General features: G+C 41.0%; 1 protein-coding gene across 1 annotated transcript in view, besides 1 other annotated feature; it reads right to left on the bottom strand.

Moving 5' to 3' along the window:
- TMOD3 (tropomodulin 3) overlaps window positions 1-21,869 on the bottom strand; it is an 86,073-nt gene that overhangs the window by 27,543 nt on the left and 36,661 nt on the right. The window contains exons 3-4 of the mRNA NM_014547.5: window positions 18,810-18,966; window positions 472-594 (exon numbers count right to left, since the gene is read on the bottom strand). Of these exons, the coding sequence (NP_055362.1) occupies window positions 472-594; window positions 18,810-18,966 (280 nt within the window). The remainder of the gene's footprint in view (window positions 1-471; window positions 595-18,809; window positions 18,967-21,869) is intronic.
- Window positions 1,258-2,023: an enhancer, noted in NCBI's record as "H3K27ac hESC enhancer chr15:52178357-52179122 (GRCh37/hg19 assembly coordinates)". NCBI's record gives its function as "activates a minimal SCP1, AML or CMV promoter by ChIP-STARR-seq in primed H9 embryonic stem cells {active_cell/tissue: H9 hESC(primed)}" and the evidence as "EXISTENCE:reporter gene assay evidence [ECO:0000049][PMID:30033119]".

The raw sequence follows: 21,869 nt of genomic DNA, 5'->3' as shown, positions 1-21,869 counted from the left end.
GACGTTTGGAGTGTTTCATATACACTTCAGAAAAGTTGGGAAGGTGGTGAGTATAGCTCAGGACTGACTGTTTCAATCTACTTTCTAGTTACTCATCTCTCGGTCTTCTGATAAAGTAGGTCAGCGGTTGACCCTGAAGACTCTTTTTCGGTGTTCAGATAGGACAGCTTCTAGCTGAGCACCAGGTGATGAAAGATTTTTAGAAAGACTTTCAAATATGACAACATGGGAAAAGATGTCGAACAATACAATACATTTTCTTAATATAAACATTTTGCTATTGAGAGTATTTAGAGAAATGAAACTCTTTACGTCAGCTTTACCGTGTAAAATATAAAGCCAAATATGTGGTTACTGATTTAACAGTACTTGCTAGGTAAAGCAAACGTTTGTATAATGTATATAGGTATGTGCTGGTATTTCCCACTCCACCCCACACTTATTCACAAATTAACTTGTTTTAGGTGATACCTGCGAGGTCACACAATTCTGTATCAGAAGCACTTGTCAAAGCTTCTTCTAATTCTGGATCAAGAGACACTTTTTCTTCTGTAAAAGTCTGTACAGGTTTCTGTTTGGGGATAAATATTTTCCCTGTAAAATAAAGCATTTTGTTAATTCCATTACTACTGCTATCAACTCATTACCATTTTATCCTTGTAACCAAAGCATGTACAACTGAACCTGAAGGAAAAGATTAACATCGACAGTAATTTTGTTTTATCTCTGACATAGATTTTTAAGTTTCCAGCGTAATATTTTGGCTGTAAAAGTTGGAAAGAAAAGGTCAACTGAGAAATTTTTCATCTGTGGAAATAAAAATGGGCTCTTTTTAGAGTAATTGCGAGTTGCTTTACAAATACTGAATCAATCAATAAATGAAGGAATAAACAAAAAACCTATAAAACTTTAAAGAGATTAAAAAAAAAAAAAACAGAATCCAATTTCCTTTTTTTTTTTTTGAGATGGAGTCTCACTCTGTCGCCCAGGCTGGAGTGTAGTGGCGTGATCTTGGCTCACTGCAACCTCCACCTCCCGGGTTCAAGTGATTCTTCTGCCTCTCAGCCTCCTGAGTAGCTGGGACTACAGGCGTGCACCACCACACCCAGCTAATTTTTGTATTTTTAGTAGAGACAGGGTTTTGCCATGTTGGCCAGGCTGGTCTCAAACTACTGACCTAAGGTGATCCACTCGCCTTGGCCTCCCAAAGTGCTAGGATTACAGATGTAAGCTACCGCACCTGGCCCCAATTTCTTATTATTAAGCAACAAACTGTTATTGTCACATGGGGGATAGCAGAGACAATTATGATTCTATAAATTCAAATTCTGATTGCAAACAAATTTCTATGTCCTGAGTGGTATTCTGAAATTTTTGGTCATTATTCCTCTAAGCCTCAACGTACACGAACAAGGTTAGCTATTAAGAAACTAGTTACTCTAGCCCTCTCCCTCTCCCTCTCCCTCTCTCCACGGTCTCCCTCTCCCTCTCTCTCCCAAGGTCTCCCTCTCCCTCTCCCTCTCTCTCCACGGTCTCCCTCTGATGCCCAGCCGAGGCTGGACTGTACTGCTGCCATCTCGGCTCACTGCAACCTCCCTGCCTGATTCTCCTGCCTCAGCCTGCCCAGTGCCTGGGAATGCGGGCGCGCACCGCCACGCCTGACTGGTTTTTGTATTCTTTGGTGGAGACGGGGTTTCGCCGTGTTGGCCAGGCTGGTCTCCAGCTCCTGGCCGTGAGTGATCTGCCCGCCTCGGCCTCCCGAGGTGCCGGGATTGCAGACGGAGTCTCGCTCACTCAGTGCTCAATGTTGCCCAGGCTGGAGTGCAGTGGCGTGATCTCGGCTCGCTACAGCCTCCACCTCCCAGCCGCCTGCCTTGGCCTCCCAAAGTGCCCAGATTGCAGCCTCTGCCCGGCCGCCACCCCGTCTGGGAAGTGAGGAGCGTCTCGGCCTGGCTGCCCATCGTCTGGGATGTGAGGAGCCCCTCAGCCTGGCTGCCCAGTCTGGGAAGTGAGGAGCGCCTCTTCCTGGCCGCCATCCCGTCTGGGAACTGAGGAGCGTCTCTGCCCGACCGCCACCCCGTCTGGGAGGTGAGGAGAGTCTCTGCCCGGCCGCCCCGTCTGAGAAGTGAGGAGCCCCTCCGCCCGGCAGCCACCCCGTCTGGGAAGTGAGGAGCGTCTCCGCCTGGCCAGCCGCCCCGTCCGGGAGGGAGGTAGGGGGCAGCCCCTGCCCGGCCAGCCACCCTGTCCGGGAGGGAGGTGGGGGGCAGCCCCCGCCCGGCAGCCACCCCGTCTGGGAGGTGGGGGGCGCCTCTGCCCGGCCGCCCCGTCTGGGAAGTGGGGAGCCCCTCTGTCCGGCCGCCACCCCGTCTGGGAGGTGTACCCAGCAGCTCATTGAGAACGGGCCATGATGACGATGGCGGTTTTGTCGAATACAAAAGGGGGAAATGTGGGGAAAAGAAGGAGAAATCGGATTGTTGCTGTGTCTGTGTAGAAAGAGGTGGACATAGGAGACTCCATTTTGTTCTGTACTGGGAGAAATTCTTCTGCCTTGGGATGCTGTTAATCTATAGCCTTGCCCCCAACCCCGTGTTCTCTGAAACATGTGCTGTGTCCACTCAGGGTTAAATGGATTAAGGGCGGTGCAAGATGTGCTTTGTTAAACAGATGCTTAAAGGCAGCATGCTCGTTGAGAGTCATCACCACTCCCGAATCTCAAGTACCCAGGGACACAAACACTGCGGAAGGCCGCAGGGTCCTCTGCCTAGGAAAACCAGAGACCCTTGTTCACATGTTTGTCTGCTGACCTTCCCTCCACTATTGTCCTATGACCCTGCCAAGTCCCCCTCTCCGAGAGACACCCAAGAATGATCAATAAATACTAAAAAAAAAAAAAAAAAAGAAAAAAGAAACTAGTTACTCTAGAAACCTAAAGACTTTATCATATGAAAATCATGTTTATGACCATATGTTCCATGCAAGATTGAAAATATGAAAGGAATGGAAAAATGATAATAATTATAAACTGCAGCACTAGCTGACCAAACAAGATGTACTCACACAACTTGGGTTACTAAGCTTGCATAGAACAGAATACCCAATTAAAGTTGGTTTAAACTGGTGCTTCAAAAGCTCTGATGTGCATGTTAGTCACCAGGGGATCTAATTAAAGTGTAGATGCTGATGCAGCAGGTCTGACTGGGGTCTGAGTTTCTGCATTTCTAACCAGACTTCCAGATGATGCTGATCCACAGACCACTCTTAAAGCAATAAGAGTTCAAACAACATGAAGTTTTATTATCTCACTTAATAAGCCCACAGGAAGGTGGTTCTAGGGTTGGTTTAGCAGCTCACTGTTGACATCAAGGATCCAGGTTCCTTTGTTTTTCTCTTTGGCCATTCTCAGTGTGGAGGCCTTTGTTCTTAGGCCTTCACAGTCTCAAGATGACCTTTATAGCACCAAGTATTATATCCCCACACAATAAAGCCAGAACAGGAAGGAGTACTTTCTCAATTGCCAACTTTTTTTTTTTTAAGGCTAGTCAAGTGAAGCAGTGGGAGTAGAGATGGAACAAAGAAATCTGTAACTGTGATCAATTAGCTGTAAACACCACTGCACTTGGACCAGCCTCAATTGTCAACTTTTACAAGAAATTCTGCCCTGCAGATTTTTCCTCTGGTCTATGGCCCAGCGGCAAGGGTGGCTAGGAAAGCAAGCATCTGTGAATGGTTGTTCAATGGGCAACTATAGTGTCTGTCCCAAACTGAAATCAAATAAAGTACTTCTGTATTCCCTTAATCCCCCGAACATTTCACTATAGCTACACTTAGACATTCTGCACATGTGTTTGCCTTTTGCATGCTTTTCAAGGGGATGCTCTATGTTCTGTTCATCCCTGCATCCTTGCCTAGAACACAACAGGTAATCCAATTTGCTGAATAAACAATTTGGTGATCACCTTCAGTCCAATGGCCCCATTTCATAAAGTGTAATTTAAATACATGGGCTCAAAGTCACACAGCACAGCTAATACTAGAACACAGGTTGCCAAACTCTTAAGGCCAGGGCTTCAGTGTTTTTTCCAGTTAACTGGTGGCTTACAAACTTGATTTATTTTAGCAACAGACTTCTTCCCCCAAACAAATGCCCATCGATCTTAGTATCAAATTTTGGAATTCTGGTGATTAATCTTTTATTATTGGTTCACAGGTAAAGAGAAATCCAAATCATTATGTCCTGATAATTCCATACTTTTCATAGTGGTTGAGATTACAATTAAAGTGGTATACATTTCAGGGGGGCATAATTTTAATTGCCATTTCAGGATAATTACATTTTCCTGAGCTCAATCTACCAGTATTTTCAACTGTGTATGGCAGTAGTTCTAAATGTTATATGCACAGTGGCTTCACTGTGAGAGCTTTAGAAAATTCTCATGTCCAAGCCCCACTCTAGAGATGCTGGTTTAGTTAATCTTGTATGCTGCATGGGCAGCTGAATTTTTTAAAGCTCTCCAGGGATTCTGATGCATAGCAGCCAAGGTTGACAGCAACTGGATTATGGTATTCACTGACTAAACAAAACTATACAAGCTACTTGCCACAAAAAAATGATCAGTATGTGAGCTAATATGTATGTCAAATTTAATTTAGCTATTCCACAATGTGTACATGTAAAAAAAAGTTACACACTATAAACAACACAATTTTTACTTGCTAACTAAAAAAAAACTAAACAAGCTATCAAATAGCTGCCCATGTCTTATTTGAGGGACCGATGGAATCTAAAGCATCATAAAAATCTAAGATGCTTATTTTTTTTATAATCCTTATCCACATTCCTTAAAAGGCATTATTCGTACCTAATTTCCCCCCATATATAAATTTTTGCTAATGCTTACAAATACAAAATGAATCTCAGCAGAAAAATCAATAAGGCAAAACAAAACTCCCAAGGACCTAGAAAAATTTTTCTGTCATATAGAATTTTGCTTGATTTCATAGAGTTCTGACATAGCATGGCACCTCTTCTGGCACTCCTCTTTATATAATTTTTCTGTATGTAGAGATTTTTGCCATAGAGGTATTTAGCTTGTACAATATTGTGTTTTTTAAAATACAAAAAGTAATTACTTCATATTTTCTTCCAGGTTAGTTGAACACTAATACACTGTAATAAGTTATCTTTTAATGCATATATACAAAGCTTAGTTATAGAAAAGTGGAAGTAAAGAAATTAATTTTGTAAGAAAGGATAAACTAGGAAGGACCTAAGTTTAGCATTACGAATACAGAACTTAAGGGGCTCTCAGCAAATTGATTTATAGATTTACACAATCCCTTTCAAAATCTCAGTTGTTTTTTTTTTATAGAAAGTGACAAGCTGATCCTAAAATTCACATGGAAACCCAGAATAGCCAAGAACACAGTTGTAAGACTTACACTTCCCAATGTTAAAATTTAATGCAAAGCTACTATAATCAAAACAGTGTTGGTGGACTAGAAAGACATTTAGATCAATAGAATATAACCAAAAATCCAGAAATAAACCCTTATACTTATGGTCAACTGATTTTCTACAGGAATACCAAAACAATTCAATGGAGAAAGAACAGTGTTTCAACAAATGGTACTACGACAACTGCACAATCACATGCAAAGTTTTTTGTTTTTGGTTTTTTTCTTTTGAGACAGTCTCTCACTCGGTCACCCAGGCTGGAGTGCAGTGGTACAATCTCAGCTCCATGCAACCTCTGCCTCCTGGGTTCAAGCGATTCTCGTACCTCAGCCTCCCAAGTAGCTGGGACTACTAGTAGATGGGGTTTTGCCATGTTGGTCAGGCTGGTCTTAAACTCCTGACCTCAAGTGATCCACCTGCCTCGGCCTCCCAAAGTGCTGGGATTACAGGTGTGAGCCACCACTCCTGGCCCTCATATGCAAAGCTGAATCCTTACCTCACATCATACTCAAAATAGATTATAAACCTAAATAGGCTGGGCATGGTGACTCACGCCTGTAATCCCAGCACGTTGGGAGGCGGAGGCGGATGGATCACCTGAGGTTAGGAGATCGAGACCAGCCTGGCCAACAAGGTGACACCACGCCTCTACTAAAAATACAAAAATTAGCCAGGTGTGGTGGCACATGCCTGTAATCCCAGCTACTCGGGAGGCTGAGGCAGGAGAATCGCTTGAACCTGGGAGGCGGAGGTTGCAGTGAGCTGAGATTGCGCCACTGTACTCCAGCCTGGGCGACAGAGCAAGACTCCATCTCAAAATAAATAAATAAAATAAAAACAAAACCCTAAATGTACGGGCTAAACTATAAAACTCTTAGGAAAAAACATAAGATTATATCTTCTTGGGAGGCCAAGGTGGGCAGATCACCTAAGGTCAGGAGTTCAAGGCCAGCCTGACCAACATGGAGAAACCCTGTCTCTACCAGAAATACAAAAAAATTAGCTGGGCATGGTGGTGCATGCCTGTAATCCCAGCTACTCAGGAGGCTGAGGCAGGAGAATCGCTTGAACCCAGGAGGCGGAGGTTGCAGTGAGCCGAGATTGTGCCATTGCACTCCAGCCCCGGCAACAAGAGCAAAACTCTGTCTCAAAAAAAAAAAAAAAAAAAAAAAAAAAAGAAATAAAGAAAGATTGTATCTCCGTGACCTTGAATTAGGCAATGGTTTTTAGATATGCCACCAAAAGTATAAGTAACAAAAGAAACACAGATAAATTGTACTACATCAAAATTAAAAACTTTTGTGGGGCAAATTATACCATCAAGAAAGTGAAAAGATAATCTGCTGAATAGGAGAAACATTTTTGAGCCATATATCTGGCAAGAAATTTTTATCCAGAATATATAAGGAATGCTTGCCAATCAATAATAAAAGGACAACCCAGTTTAAAAGTAAGCGAAGATTTGAAGAGACATTTCTACAAAGAATATGTATAGCTGGGCATGGTGGTGCACATTTGTAATCTCAGCTACTCGGTCGGTTGACATAGGAGGATTGTTTGAGCCCAGAAGTTCGAGTCCAGCCTGGGCTGCATAGCAAGACTCCATTTCCAAAAAGCAAACAAATATACACGAGTCTAACAATACATGAAAAAATACTCAGTATCATTAGTTATTAGGGAAATGCAAATCAAAACCACAATGTGATATTACTTCACACCCACTAAGATGGCTACAATAAAACAGACAAGTGTTGGCAAGCATGTGGAGAAATTTCAACCCTGGTACATTACTGGTGAGAAGGTACAATACCGCAGCCACTTTGGAAAAGTTTGGCAGTTTCTCAATTTGTTAAAAAATAGTTACCTTATGATCCAGCAATTCTATCAGGCACATACCCAAGAGAAATAAAAACATATGTCTATATAACAACTTGTATAAAAATGTTCATAGCAGCATATTCACAACAGCTAAAAAGTGGCAACAACCCATGTCCATTAACTGAGAAACAGATAAACAAAACGTGGTATCCACAATAAAATATTATTCAGCCATAAAAAAGAATGAAGTATTGACACACACTGTAACAAGATGAAACTCCAAAACCTTATGCTAAGTGAAAGAAGTCAGCCATAAATACATATTGTATGATTCTGTTTATAAGAAATATCCAGACTAGGCAAATCCAGAAAGAAAGTTGCTTAGTGGTTGTCAAGGGCTAGGGAATGGAATGGGGATGAAGGCTTACTGCTAACGTGCACAGGGTTTCTTTCTGGGGTTCCAAAAATGTTCTAAACTTAAGACTGTGGTGATGGTTGCATAATTCTATCAATGTAGTAATGAATATTGAATTATATGCCTTAAATTGATAAATTTTATGATATGGGAATTATATCACCTTTACTAATAAAGATGTTTACAAAAACCACTAAGGAGCTGACTTATTAGTATGGGTTTTTTGGTCTTCAGTAAATTTATATTTGGTTCCCTGAAATGTGAAGATTAAAAAAAGATAATTTTCTGAGACAAATTGAGCCAGATACAGTATATTTGTACTTCTTAATCAAAATCAGCTGTTTCCCGAGAAACATCTAACTAGCAAACTGCTGGAATAATTTCATATGACATAAAATACCTTTCTAAACATGTATTAATTTAAATTAGTCTTATATCAATATCAATTAGATTTTAAAATCTTAGTGACTATGAGATGTTGATAAATTCAATAGATCTCCCTTATAATGGTTAGTTTGGTTTGTGCTCTCAATGTCTTGCAGGATGAGAAACATAATAGACACACATTAATTCCTTATTCTTGTTGCTCCTAGAATTTCTTCTTCGTGTGTGTGTGTGTGTGTGTGTGTGTGTGTGTGAAAGACAGAGAGAGAGAAAGAGATTGCCAAAACAAACTAGCAACCTAGGAAGACTAAAGACCACATAGTCCCAAGTATCTCTGTCAGTGTTCCTTAAACTCAGAAAATGAAGACTGGTTAGTCATGAGTATTTTTGAAAAAGCTCCAAAGGTGATTCTAATTCTTACTCATTTAGGTTGGTAACCACTAATCTGTATAATATCAGTCCCTAAAAGATGAAGATGAGTTATCCTGAGTTGATCTAATTTTTTCTTCTGCTTGAAATATGGTCAAAAATAAAAAAATCCAGATTTATGACTTTTACTACTTCCATTTTTTAAAATAACATAATGTCTAAGAAAACATTTTTACCTTTCAGTAGATAGCATTCTATCTAAATGACTGTAATTTCCTTATTTAAGATAGCAAAATCCAAAACTCAAATTTTTAAAAACTGAAATTATAATTCTTTACCTAGTAGGAAACTATAAAAATAAACAATGATGAGATCAGAAAAAAAAAACTCTCAGATAAGTATGAAATGATACATCCCCCACCCCCAAGTTACACAAAACAAACAAAAATAAGGCTGAACCTTGGTTGCTAAGAGCGTTGAAACAGTTTAGCAATGTTTCTGCAACTACAAAACAGCAGCTAAGGAAATGGAAGACATTGAGATAAGAATTCATATAACAGTAATTTAAATGTATGGCACTTATCCAAACTCATGTGTGTTCCAAGAAAAAAGAAATATCCTGTGCCAAGATCCTTGTTATTGTCACAAAATCAGTAAGAAATACTGTGATCCATGTTAACAATTCCATTGCCAGGACCTTTCTTTACTAGTCCTTATCTCTTTTGCTCTGATACCAAGTTACAGCTGCAACAAATGTTAAGAATTATCTTAGTCATAGCTCCCACCCTTGCTGAGTATATAAAAAATATAATAACAAGAAACAGAGGTGGCTCTTGGTTACTTCATTCCTACAGAGTTGAAAGGCCCTAGCTAACTTTACTGTTTGTTTATAAACTGCCTTGTTCCAGAAAAGATTGAAGGACACTACTCCACTATAATCTCCAAGAGGCTTTGTGATATGTTGTTTGACAAGCAGCACAAAAACCTCAAACCAATCAAACTAAAGAATGAGGGGACACAGCCTAGAAAGACATTTTTGTTTTGATCCAATGATACACACAACACCTGCTTGATGCTGCAACATGGTCACCAATAAATGCTTAGTTAACAAATGTTTAGTGAGTTTGTATATACTAGACAATGAACTAGAAAGACACCATAAGGAAAACAAAACAAGAGATCCTTCACTTTTGGGAGTTAATACTTTAACAGGGAAATAGAACAGCAACTGAATCCTATTCTGGAGGTTCCTATGTCAAGATGGGGTAATAAGGACAGAATTTACCCACATGCCTGAAACAATTAAAATGGACAAAATATATGAAACAAGTTTTACACACACACACACACACACACACACACACATATATTTTAAAGAGATGGTTCTTGTTATGTTGGCCAGGTTGGTCTTGAACTCTTTGGCCTCAAGCAATCCTCCTGCCTCAGCCTCCCAAAGGGCTTGGATTACAGGCATGAGTTACCATACCTGGCCAGAAACAACAGTTTTCAAGACACTGGCCATCAGGCAACAAAGGACAGTGATCCCTATGATATGGGAAAAACAGAGGTGAGCCCTGTGATTACCTAGCTTATTGTCTGGAGAAAGGTTCCAGGCTGCAGATCAGGGAGCAGAAATTCAGGCAGAGCCTGGTGAATGCTGAGCTGCAGACACAGCTGAGGTCCAGAAAAACCAAGGCAGCCAGTGTTTGAAGGATAGGGAACCAGAAAGGAGGGAACTGCACAGAGAGGGAGCCCAGGAGTTGTGCAGAGGGTCACACTGAGTGTTCAGCATAGCACCGACTGGTACATGTATGTGAGGAACTACCTTGAGCCAAGGGAAAAAAAAAAACTTCTGAAAGCTTAGAGGTAATAATGCCCATGTTCATGCAGAGCTGGGAATAGAACCTGTTCCCACCAGCCAGACTGGAAAAGCTCACAATTCACAAGGCTCACAATTGGGTAGGGAACTCAGAAGGGTCTTGCCTCAGTATTGGGGAAATAATTAGCCCTAGACTGAACACTGCTCTAGTCCCACCTAACACATCTTTTTTTTTTTTTTTTAAGACAGAGTTTTGCTCTCGTTGCCCAGGCTAGAGTGCAGTGGTGCAATCTCGGCTCACTGCAACCTCCGTCTTCCGGTTTCAAGAGATTCTCCTGTCTCAGCCTCCCTAGTAGCTGGGATTACAGGCGCCCGCCACCACACCCAGCTAATTTTTTTGTATTTTTAGTAGAGATGGGGTTTCACCATGTTGGTCAGGCTGGTATCGAACTGCTGACCTCGTGATCCACCTGCCTCGGCCTCCCAAAATGTTGGGATTACAGGCGTGAGCCACCGTGCCTGGCCCACCTAACAAATCTTAAAAGCAAGACTCCAAAGAATCAAACTGTTTCCAAGTAACTTAACTGCACCCCAGAATGAAACTCAAGAATATTTATAGGTATATCAATACATCCAGCACTGGAAAGTTAATATGTTTGATACCCAATAAACAATTACAAACATGCAAAGAAACAGGAAAATTTGATCCAGAAGAAGAAAAAAAATCGGTCTATCAAAATTGACTTAACAATGATAGATGATAAAATTGGCAAGTAAGGACATTAAAAATTACTATAATTATATTACATATGTTCAAAAAGTGAAGTAGAGGCATAGAAGACTTTTTCTTTATTTTTTTTGAGACAGAGTCTCGCTCTGATGCCAAGGGTGGAGTGCAGTGGCATGAGCATGGATCACTGCAGCAATGAACTCGTAGGCTCAAGCCATCCTCCCACCTCAGCCTCCGGAGTAACTGGAACTACAGGCACACACCACCGCATCCAGCTAACTTTTTTTCATTTTTAGTAGAGGCACGGTCTCACTGTGTTGCCCAAGCTGGTCTGCAACTCCTGACCTCAAGTGATCCTCCCGCAGTGCCGCAATTACAGGTGTGAGCCATCATGCCTGGACGGAAGATTTTTTTTTTTAAAAAAAGCGCTGGGGCCGGGTGCGGTGGCTCATGCCTGTAATCCCAGCACTTTGGGAGGCTGAGGCAGGTGGATCACGAGGTCAGGAGATTGAGACCATCCTGGCTAACACGGTGAAACCCCGTCTCTACTAAAAATACAAAAAATTAGCCGGGCGAGGTGGCAGGTGCCTGTAGTCCCAGCTACTCGGGAGGCTGAGGCAGGAGAATGGCATGAACCCAGGGGGTGGAGCCTGCAGTGAGCCGAGATCACACCACTGCACTCCAGCCTGGGAAACAGAGCGAGACTCCATCTCAAAAAAAAAAAAAAAGCGCTGGGTGCACTGTCTCACACCTGTAATCCCAGGTACTCAGGGGGCTGAGGTGGGTGGAAGGATTGCTTGAGGCCAAGCATTTGAGAACAACATAGCAAGACCCGCCTCTAAAAAGAATTTTAAAAATTAGCCAGGTGTGGTAGCACATGCCTGTAGTCTCAACTACTTAGGAGGGTGAGGCAGAAGAATCACCTGAGCCCAAGAGTTTGAGGCTGCAGTGAGCTGTGATCATGCCACCGCTCTCCAGTCTGGACAACAGAGCAAGACCCTGTCTCTTACAAACAACAACAACAACAACAACAACATCAAAGAACAGACAGGACAAATAGAAAAGATATACCATGACATCTAATCAAAATAAAGAAAGATAGGCTCTATTAACATCAGGCAAAGTAGGTTTTATAGCAAAGAATATTACCAGAGATAAAGGTCATTTCATTATAACAAAAGGGACAATTCATCAAGGGGACATAACAATCCTAAAAACAAGTAGCAACAAAGCCTCAGAGTACAAGATTCTGAAACAACTAAAAGCAGTACTTTAGGCCGGGCACGGTGGCTCACACCTGTAATCCCAGCACTTTGGGAGGCCAAGGTGGGTGGATCACGAGGTCAGGAGATGGCGAACATCCTGGCTAACACAGTGAAACCCTGTCTCTACTAAAAATACAAAAAAAAATTAGCTGGGCATGGTGGCGGCTGCCTGTAGTCCCAGTTACTTGGGAGGCTGAGGCAGGTGAATGGCATGAACCCAGGAGGTGGAACTTGCAGTGAACCGAGATCGCGCCACTGCACTCCAGCCTGGGCGACAGAGCAAGACTCTGTCTCAGGAAAAAAAAAAAAAAAAAAAGGCAGTACTTTACGGTATGTAAATCATATGGAGAAATGCTGGAGGAAAGGAACTATCCAGAGTGGGTGTAGTTATCCAGGAAATGTTCCCCATGAAACCGGTTAACATGAGTAACAAGCCGTCCATCTGGCTAACTCCTCACCCCAAGGGAGTTAACAGTGAATCATTCAAATGATATTGCATGACCGGTCTGAAAAGGAGATGCCAGCATCTGCATGACTAATGTAAATAGCCCATTTCAAATATCAGCTTCAGTGCCTGGGAAGACCACTTTTCAGAGGTCTACAAGGGACATTTAGGGTTCATACAATATGATTACAAAAATAAGAGCCAGTTTTTACCTTTGGACTTAGCGGAAACCAATTGCCCAGTGGTGGTTATGTAATCCTCTTGATGTAGGCAGGTTTATAATCATGATCTTTCTGGTTTACTAAGGGATCAGGTCTGTCTTTCCTCCAAAGAAATCACATACTCAGAAAGGTGAGAAAGAGGAGGTTTTCTGGAAAGCTAACATAACTGTGAATAAATAACTTGGACAGCATATGGGAAGTCCTTAGTTTAAGGCAACTGGGTTAAATTTACCTTTAAAAAAGCAGGGAGGGGCATGTGGAATTCTTGGGAAAGAACAAAAGGGCATTCCATTCTCAGGATAGGAAAAGAGAAAACAACCAAAAAGCATAAATGGCTGTACCCCAAGGCCCAGCAGGAAGAAAAGGAGTGCGGTGCAAGGCAGGGAGGAGCCCATACCGGGTGAGTCAGCAGCTCAAACAGAATCAGAATGCACATCTCTGTATAGGATATAAGGTGCAGCCATGGCTCTGGTCCATCCGTGAAATAACACAGGGAAAAAAAATTCTTAGTCTAGGTAAGGGCGGAGCATGATACCAGCAATAGAGAGGAGGAGTCCCCAGCAAAACAAAACAAAATGACAGGTAGTAAAAAATACTGAAGACTGGGACACAGTATTTCTTCAAGTGATAAATTCATGACAAGGTTCTATGCCTTATCTATCTTTGAGACAGAATATGCATGCTATGTAAAAATATGATGGGAACTAATAATCAGCACTGAGAATTTTCACCATTCTCCAAACGAGAACAAGCTGGATGAATACTCTCTTTCACTCCTGTGCTGGCCTATGTCTCAGTTATACATTCTGCAAAATTTTAAGGAGGAAGAGGTAAAAAGTAAAATATTCACCAGTATAGGACAAAATACTCCCCTAAATGCATGTAAGACATAAGGCCTTGAGCTTCACTTAATTAGGATTACTTTCTTCTTTTCATATATTGACATATGCTTTCAATTCTGTAAAACATATAATCATTTCACAAATCATGAGGTGAAATTATTAATGGATTTACATATAATAACTCTTAAGTGTCCTCAGTCTATCAGGTTTCTAAAAAACATTTTTTAGCAATCTAGAAAATAAAATTTGGCATGAATATTTACTTTTATATTGGTCAAAAGGAAAAACTAAATGTGAAATTTTTGGTTTTATGAGGATTCCCTCCTGTCCTGGCCAGTTATGTGTAATTCTGGCTCCAGAAACAGAGTCTGCCTTTAAGTGAAAAAATAAGAAGTATAATTAATTGTCAGTCTCAGAATATAAGAAAATAGTCTAATGACTAGGTAAGTAATCCTTTTAGTGGTTCCCAAGTTTTTGCTTTTGAAAAAATTAAGCAGTCGGCCAGGTGCAGTGGCTCCACCTGTAATCCCAGCACTTTGGGAGGCCAAGGCAGACAGATCACCTGAGGTCAGGAGTTCGAGACCAGCCTGACCAACATGGTGAAACCCCGTCTCTACTAAAAATACAAAAATTAGCCAGGTGTGGTGGCAGGCCACTGCACTCCGGCCTGGGTAACAGAGTGAGATTCCATCTCCAAAAAAAAAAAAAATTAAGCAGTCATCTGATAGATCCTTTAAAATAATTAATTTACGATGAGAGCTCACTATGTGATTTTGGCATATAATTTGGAAAGAGTTCAAGGAACTGAATGACACTGCTACAACATTCCCTGGTCAGAAGGCTAATATTGCCATTAGGTACTGCACCCTGAGGCCAGTCATCTTTGAATGAAAAAATCATTTAGAGACCAAGAGAACATCTTATGGATTCTAACTAATCTAAATGTACCAAAAAAGTAAAATGCCTTTGTTTCTCAATAGAGGTAGGTTTGCAAACTTTTATGAAGAGCCAGGAAAACCTCTATTGCCTGGGAAAGCATCCTCAATCTGAAAGTCTATCTCCACTAAAATAAGCTATTAAGTAAAAAATCTGAGACTCAACCCAGGTGTTCAGGGCAGAGTCATAGGAGAGCTATCTTTAAAAAACAAGCTTCTGGATTTTTGGAGCTACAGAGATTAACATTTAGGTTGATGGGAAGTATTCTAATAAGACATAGATGAATTACTCTGAGGACCTTCTGGAACGTGATCAGGATCCTGGAGATGAGATGAAGAGAGAGGAAGGCATATTCGTGACTAAGGATAACTAAGGCTAACTGCTTTAAAGATGAGAGTCTAGGGTGGATTTCAGAACATTAGAGGTGGCTTTTTGCTATATTTCAAAGCAGAGCTTTACAGCCAAAGTTGCTTGATTGTTGAAGAGGAATTTGCCCTCCTTCAGGTCCATGGTACTGTGACATGGCTTATAAGGCTTGATTCTACCACATCTGATAGTATGTGCTTCCATCAGATAGATTAATGAAACTCACAAATTCATCCCATGGTTGTTCTGGACCGCTCCTCCATGACAGAGAATGAAAATCTCTTGTTCGGTAATCATCTCCCATATGATCCTTTACAGTGATTTCAGTGTACCCATTAATAAATCTGGTCCTCAGGTGGGTGTGGGGGCATGTGCCTGTAGTCCTAGCTACTCTAGAGGCTAAGGTGGAAGAATCGTTTGAGCCCAGGAGTCCCAGGTTGCAGTGCCACTGCATTCCAGCCTGGGCAACAAGAGAGTGAGTCCTCATCTCTAAAAACCAAACCAAAAAAAAAAAAAACAAATTTGGTCCTCACAAAAAATATATGACATAGGCATGCCAGATGCCCGGAATGTATGTTTCCATCGATATAAAGTTCAAAACAGACAGAACTAACTATTGTATTAGACACTATGTTGGTAATTACCTTTCACAAGAAAGGGAAAAGTGACTGGGAAGGAGCATGATAGGGCCTTCAGTGGGTGCTGATGTTACCTTTTTTTTTTTGAGACAGGGTCTCGACTCTGTCGCCCAGGCTGGAGTACAGTAGAGCAACCTCGGCTCACTGCAATCTCCGCCTCCTGAGTTCAAGGGATTCCCCTACCTCAGCCTCCTGAGTAGCTAGGATTACAGGTGCATGCCACCATGCCCAGCTATTTTGTATTTTTAGTAGAGACGGGGTTTCACCATGTTGGCCAGGCTGGTCTCGAGCTCCTGACCTCAAGAGATCCGCCTGCCTCGGCCTCCCAAAATGCTGGGATTACAGGCGTTGAGCTACCGCGTCCGGCTGCTGATGTTATCGTTACCTGAATGGTAATTACATGGTGTGTTTATTTTATAATTCACTGAGCTACATACAGATGACCTGTGCATTTTCTTTGAGTAACAAAAAGTTCATTATTAAAAAAAAGCTATCATCTTAATCACTGCATCAGAGCTGCCCATAAACAATATTTAATAGACATATGTAGCTAAAAGAGGCAGTAAAAATACCGAATGTATTATAAAGAGAAACCACTGATTGTGAATGTAAAATTACTTGTTCAACTACTTCCATTTATTCTTACCCATCTAAAACCTAAAGTAAGAAGTAAAAATTTTAAAAGATACATAGGAGGACAAAGATATTCTACCATAGTTGAGGATACAGCACTTTTTCCTATGTCACCCATATTCCTCACCTCTATCCTTTTCCCCCTCTTGTATTTTCTTATTTTCCGTAATTCTTCTCTGCTTTCTTTCCTATTTCCTCTAATCCTCCAAGATATTTTCCTAGGTAACTGGAGATTATGAAACAAGGGCATATTAGGAAGCTTCCGGGGTTAGCCTGGGACAAATGCAGCTTTCTTTCAGGTCTCTTATTTTTTCTCCTTCTTATCCTCAAATTCCATAGTTTTTTTCTGACATCTCTTTTTCTCACATCTCTCGCTTTGTTTCTACCTCCATTCCTTTCCAAATTATACCCCCAGGGTCCACCTGAAACACGCAGAATAACAGAAGGTGATCAACCAGTATTTTTTCTCATAAAATTATGTTCTTCTATTTAAGCAGGATTAAAGCCATAAACACTGACATACGTATGGCTGCACAGAGAAAATATAACCAGTAGTTTTCTTTGACAAATAAAAAGGAAGAGATGCCTCTGCCTGTCTTTATGATTCTCCACACTTCAAAACTCTGCATTGGTTTTGAACTCTTTTTCTGGCCCCAAACACCTGAGGGACATGACATTCCCACCTGTAACAGTAGCGTGATGGTTAGTTTTATGTGTCAATTTGGCTGGGCTGTGGTGCCCAGCTATTTTCTCAAACATTGTTCTAAACGTTTTCATGAAGGTTTTTTGTTTTTTGCTTTTTTTTTGGATGAGATTAAAATTTAAATCAGCAGACTCTAAGTAAAGCCAATTAACCTCCATAATGTGGGTGGGCCTCATTTAATCAGTTGAAGGCCTTAAAAGAACAAAGATTTATCTCCCCAAAGTAGGAAGAAATTCTGCCACTAGACTGCCTTTGGACAAGAATAGTAAATCTTCCCTGGGTCTCCAGGCTGCTAGATTTTGAATTTAAAAAGCCTCCTTAAAATAAACTTTTCTCTCCCCTCACATCCTGTTGGTTCTGTCTCTCTGGAGAACCCTGACTAACTTAAATAACAAAGATAGTGATCCTTAACAAGAGATGAAGAGGAAGAGGACTCTAAAGAAAAAGCACAGGGGCTGGGGTGATGGATAATTTTAGAAAAGTCAGGTGCAGAGCTTACGGCTTACCTACTCAATAGCCATTCACAAGCCTTCCTCTACTATAGAAGCTGGAGTGCTAAAATGAACTTTCTTGCTTCCCTTGCAGCTAAGGGGTAGCCATGTGACACAGTTCTGGCCAAAATGATTGAGAAGGGCCTCTTTCTCAAATAAAAAGCCCAAGTCCCATTCTTCCTGCCTGGACTAATATGAATTCAGACATAAAAATGGTGCCTGCAAGAGCTGATCTTCAGCTCTGCTACTGCTGCCACCATTCCCCAGTATTCTATACACAGTATTCCAAGTAAGAGTGAACGTAGAATTTGGCTTTTTAGGCCAACCTGTATTCTGACCTGTTTGGAAAGCTGAAAAACTTATCCTGTTTCATTTAAGTATTATTATATATAGAACTTTTAAAAACACAGCTGTGGCTGGGTGCAGTGGCTCATGCCTGTAATCCCAGCACTTTAGGAGGCCTAGGTGGGTGGATCACTTGAGGTCAGGAGTTCGAGACCAGCCTGGCCAACACTGTGAAACCCCATCTCTACTAAAAATACAAAAATTAGCCAGACGTGCTGGTGTGCACCTGTAATCCCAGCTACTAAGGAGGCTGAGACAGGAGAATCGCTTAAACCCGGGAGGCGGAGGTTGCAGTGAGGCGAGGGTGCACCATTGCACTCCGGCCTGGGCAACAGAGCAAGACTCCATCTCAAACAAACAAACAAACAAACAAAAAAACAACCACAGCCGTACTCAGGCTCCACTGAGAATACATAAGCTCAAACACTTAAATGGGGGAGACTTGGACTAGAAAAATTTCCTAAAACTACTGATTATGAAGCATTAGCAATCATAACCATGAATTAATAATGATGGGTATAGAATAGCTTTTTAAAAGGGTCTTTGAAAATATGGCATGAATTGTTTTATGGCATTCCACTTTAAAGAATGCAGTTAGAATAGATGCCTTAACATCATTTGTACTCTGTAATCTACCACTGAATTTTAAGTTTCCTTCAATATACTTTTAGATCTGTTATAGTAGAGAATTAAAGAATGTTATTCAAAATCATTGTGTAATAAAACCTCACTAACATCATTAAGAAGAAACTTATTGACCAAGTTGATGAAAAATGTAAATAAAGTATCTAAACCAATAAATGTCTAAGTCAACAGTATCATATATTTAAGGCTACCAATGATGTACCTCTAAAAATATGATTTTCTCCACACCCACCTATAAAAAGAAAAATCAAGTGTTACCACATAATGACTTTAAAATTCTGGGGCTTACCTTTTTTTTCTCCAGTGTAGGGCACATAGTCTTCCCTGTCTTTATGCTCCAATGCTTCTTTCTCCAGATATGAAAGGAGATGCTCTCTATCAAATGGCCCTGTGGTGGACTTTGATGTCTGGTTCTTCTGCCGGAACCCTGCAGGCAGAAGGGCATTCTGCCAGAGAGAATGAATCAGCCAATATGACCAATAAGAATGCTAATGCTATATGCTTCCGAAGATTACCCATATAAAAAAGAATTACAGACTGGAATGTGATACAGGCACTAAACACTTCATTGCAGGATTTTAGGACAGCAATGTACAATTGCTCCAAACATTAAACTTCTTTTTTATTAGGTAGAATTCACTTACATTATTATTAAAATAGGCACATACATTAGTACAGTTTCTTTTCTTTTTGGAGACAGTCTCCTTCTATCCCCAAAGCTGGAGTGCAGTGGCATGATCTCAGCTCACTGCAACCTCTGCCTCCTGGGTTCAAGTGATTATCATGCCTCAGACTCCCAAGTAGCTGGGATTACAGGCGCCTGCCACCACGCCCAGCTAATTTTTGCGTTTTGGGTAGAGATGGGGTTTTGCCATGTTGGCCAGACTAGTCTAGAATTCCTGACTTCAGATGATCTGCCCTCCTCGGCTGCCCAAAGTGTTGGGATTACAGGTGTGAGCCACCGCGCCCAGCATACGTTTTCTAATAGAACATTTTCTTCAGAGAGGATTCTACTAGCAGAAAACAATCTTTAGTTTTTAAGTGTTCTGGGATACTAATAAAAAAGTTTTATTAACCACATACCACATCTTCTTACTTACATAAGTGGGAGTCAATGATGAGAACACACGGACATATAGAGCACACATATAGAGCTAAGTGATGAGAACACAAGGACATATAAAGCACACATATTGGAGCATAGAGGAGGGTGGAGGGTGGGAGGAGGTAGAGGATCAGGAAAAATAACTAACAGGTATTAGTGATGAAATAATCTGTACAACAAACCCCCATGACACAAGTTTACCTACGTAATGAAACCTGCACAGGTATCCCTGAACTTAAAACGTTTTTTTTAAAAAGTTTTATTAATGCTTAATAACTGCTCAGTGTATATATATGTACAGAGAATAATTCTATTACAAAAGAGTTTTAAATGACTCTGTACATTATATTCCTTCATGACTTCCATTTCATTGTACAGACTTCTTCATGATTACAACATATATACCATACAGTAGGATATCAGATTAATGTTTACTTCAGTTTAAACACAACGTGAGATGTTCCACTTGTGTGTGTATGCGTACATATATACATGACCACTAGGATGTACTTGCTACAATCACTATCATTGTTTCACATGCCCCAAGGGACCCCTGACATACTCACAGCAAGAGCTATGTTCCTGGGTTTCCACACGGGTACAGCCTTTTTGAGCGCATGGACTGACTTAGAGATGAGGGAGGTGCAGTGGAAGGTGATGGATTAAAGTTGTCTCCTGTAGTCCCTTAATTTTCACTAAGCCCAGTAAACACAAGGGCTGACTAGACAAAGTGAGTACCGTCCTTTCACTTGTCAAAAGCCAAAGAGGTGATACTGCCTTGTCTCATATTTCTGGGTATATCTTTGCTTTGAAAATGGGAGGCAGCCAGAGAAATCACACAAAAGGGCCAGCTCTCTTTTGCAAAACCTCCCAATATTGGCAGTGACGCTGAATTTCATGGGTGGTATAAGACAATTTTTCATTATAAAGGGTAATCTTATATGGGCAATAGTAATAGAAAATATTCAATTTGTAACTAGGAAATACAGCACTTCAACTGTGGTCATTTGTTGAGACACATAATAATTTTCATAAAATTCACTTCTGTGTTACCCTTTATGTAATGGTACCTACTACACAGAAAGCTGAACTGTAAAGACGAAACATTCCTAACTTTGTACCAAGTATGTTTCTGTAATACAAAATTGTTTATGGAAACATAAAAAAGAAACATAAGATTTCTACCTTTAGACTTAGAAATCATGAGAGGAATTACACATGAAGAATCCATTTCCAATTGACCTGCAAGTCCTACTCATTTTTACTTCCTGAAGAACTCATTCATCTTTTTCCCATCTCCAACATTATTACTTTGGTCGAAACTATGATCTAAGCTTGCTGAGACTGTTACATTAGCTTCCCACCTGGATCAGCTGCCTGATATTTTTTATCCTTCACCACCAGCCCCTCAGTCTGTCACCCTAGCCTCATCTCACACACCCTCTCCATTCCAGTCACACTGGACTTTTTTTTCTCTCTTGTACTTGCCATATACTTCCTTCTACCACCAGGCCTCTATGTGTGTGGTCTCCCTTCCCTGGAATGCTCTGCCTATCCCTTTTTGCAACTCATTTTTCAGATTGTAGCTCCATTCCCCCAGGGAAGCTTTTCTTAACCTCTCATCACAAGCTCTTACAGTGTGTAGCACTTACCATTCTTTTAATATGGTATGATTATTTGGTTAATGTCAAACTGCTCCTATTCCTACCAGCCTGCGTCATGAGGGCAAAGACCACATTTGTTTTGCTCATTCTTGTATTCCTAAGCCTAGCATAGTACCTGGGGTCTACAAGTTGCCCCCAAATATTTACTGAATAAAGGTGTTAGAATGCTTTTAAAGAAAGATTCTCATTAAGGCAAATTAATAAAAAGTTACTTTCCTTCTCCATCATTAATGCATAGATGTATATATTGCTATTTCATGGTGGTGGTAATGGAATTTGCACTACTCTACCTGCCTGCTCAAGCCCATGTGACACACACAGTCTTAAATATGATAGCTGAAATCCTGGCTCCCTAGAAAGCCTTTTTTTTCTTTCTTTCTTTTTGGTCTGGCTCCTTAGAAAGCCTTTTTTTTCTTTCTTTTTTTTGGGTAGGGGGGAGACAGGGTCTTGCTCTACTGCTCAGGCTGGAGTACAGTGGTGCGATCACAGCTTGCTGCAACCTTGAACTCCTGGGCTTAAGCAATCTTCCTGCCTAGGCCTCTGGAGTAACTGGAACTACAGGTGTGCACCACCATGCCCC

The sequence above is a fragment of the Homo sapiens genome, chromosome 15, assembly GCF_000001405.40.
Source record: "Homo sapiens chromosome 15, GRCh38.p14 Primary Assembly".
NCBI classification, from domain to species: Eukaryota; Metazoa; Chordata; class Mammalia; order Primates; family Hominidae; genus Homo; species Homo sapiens.
Note: the sequence above shows the minus strand (reverse complement) of the source record. Positions and strands in the feature narration are given on the sequence as shown.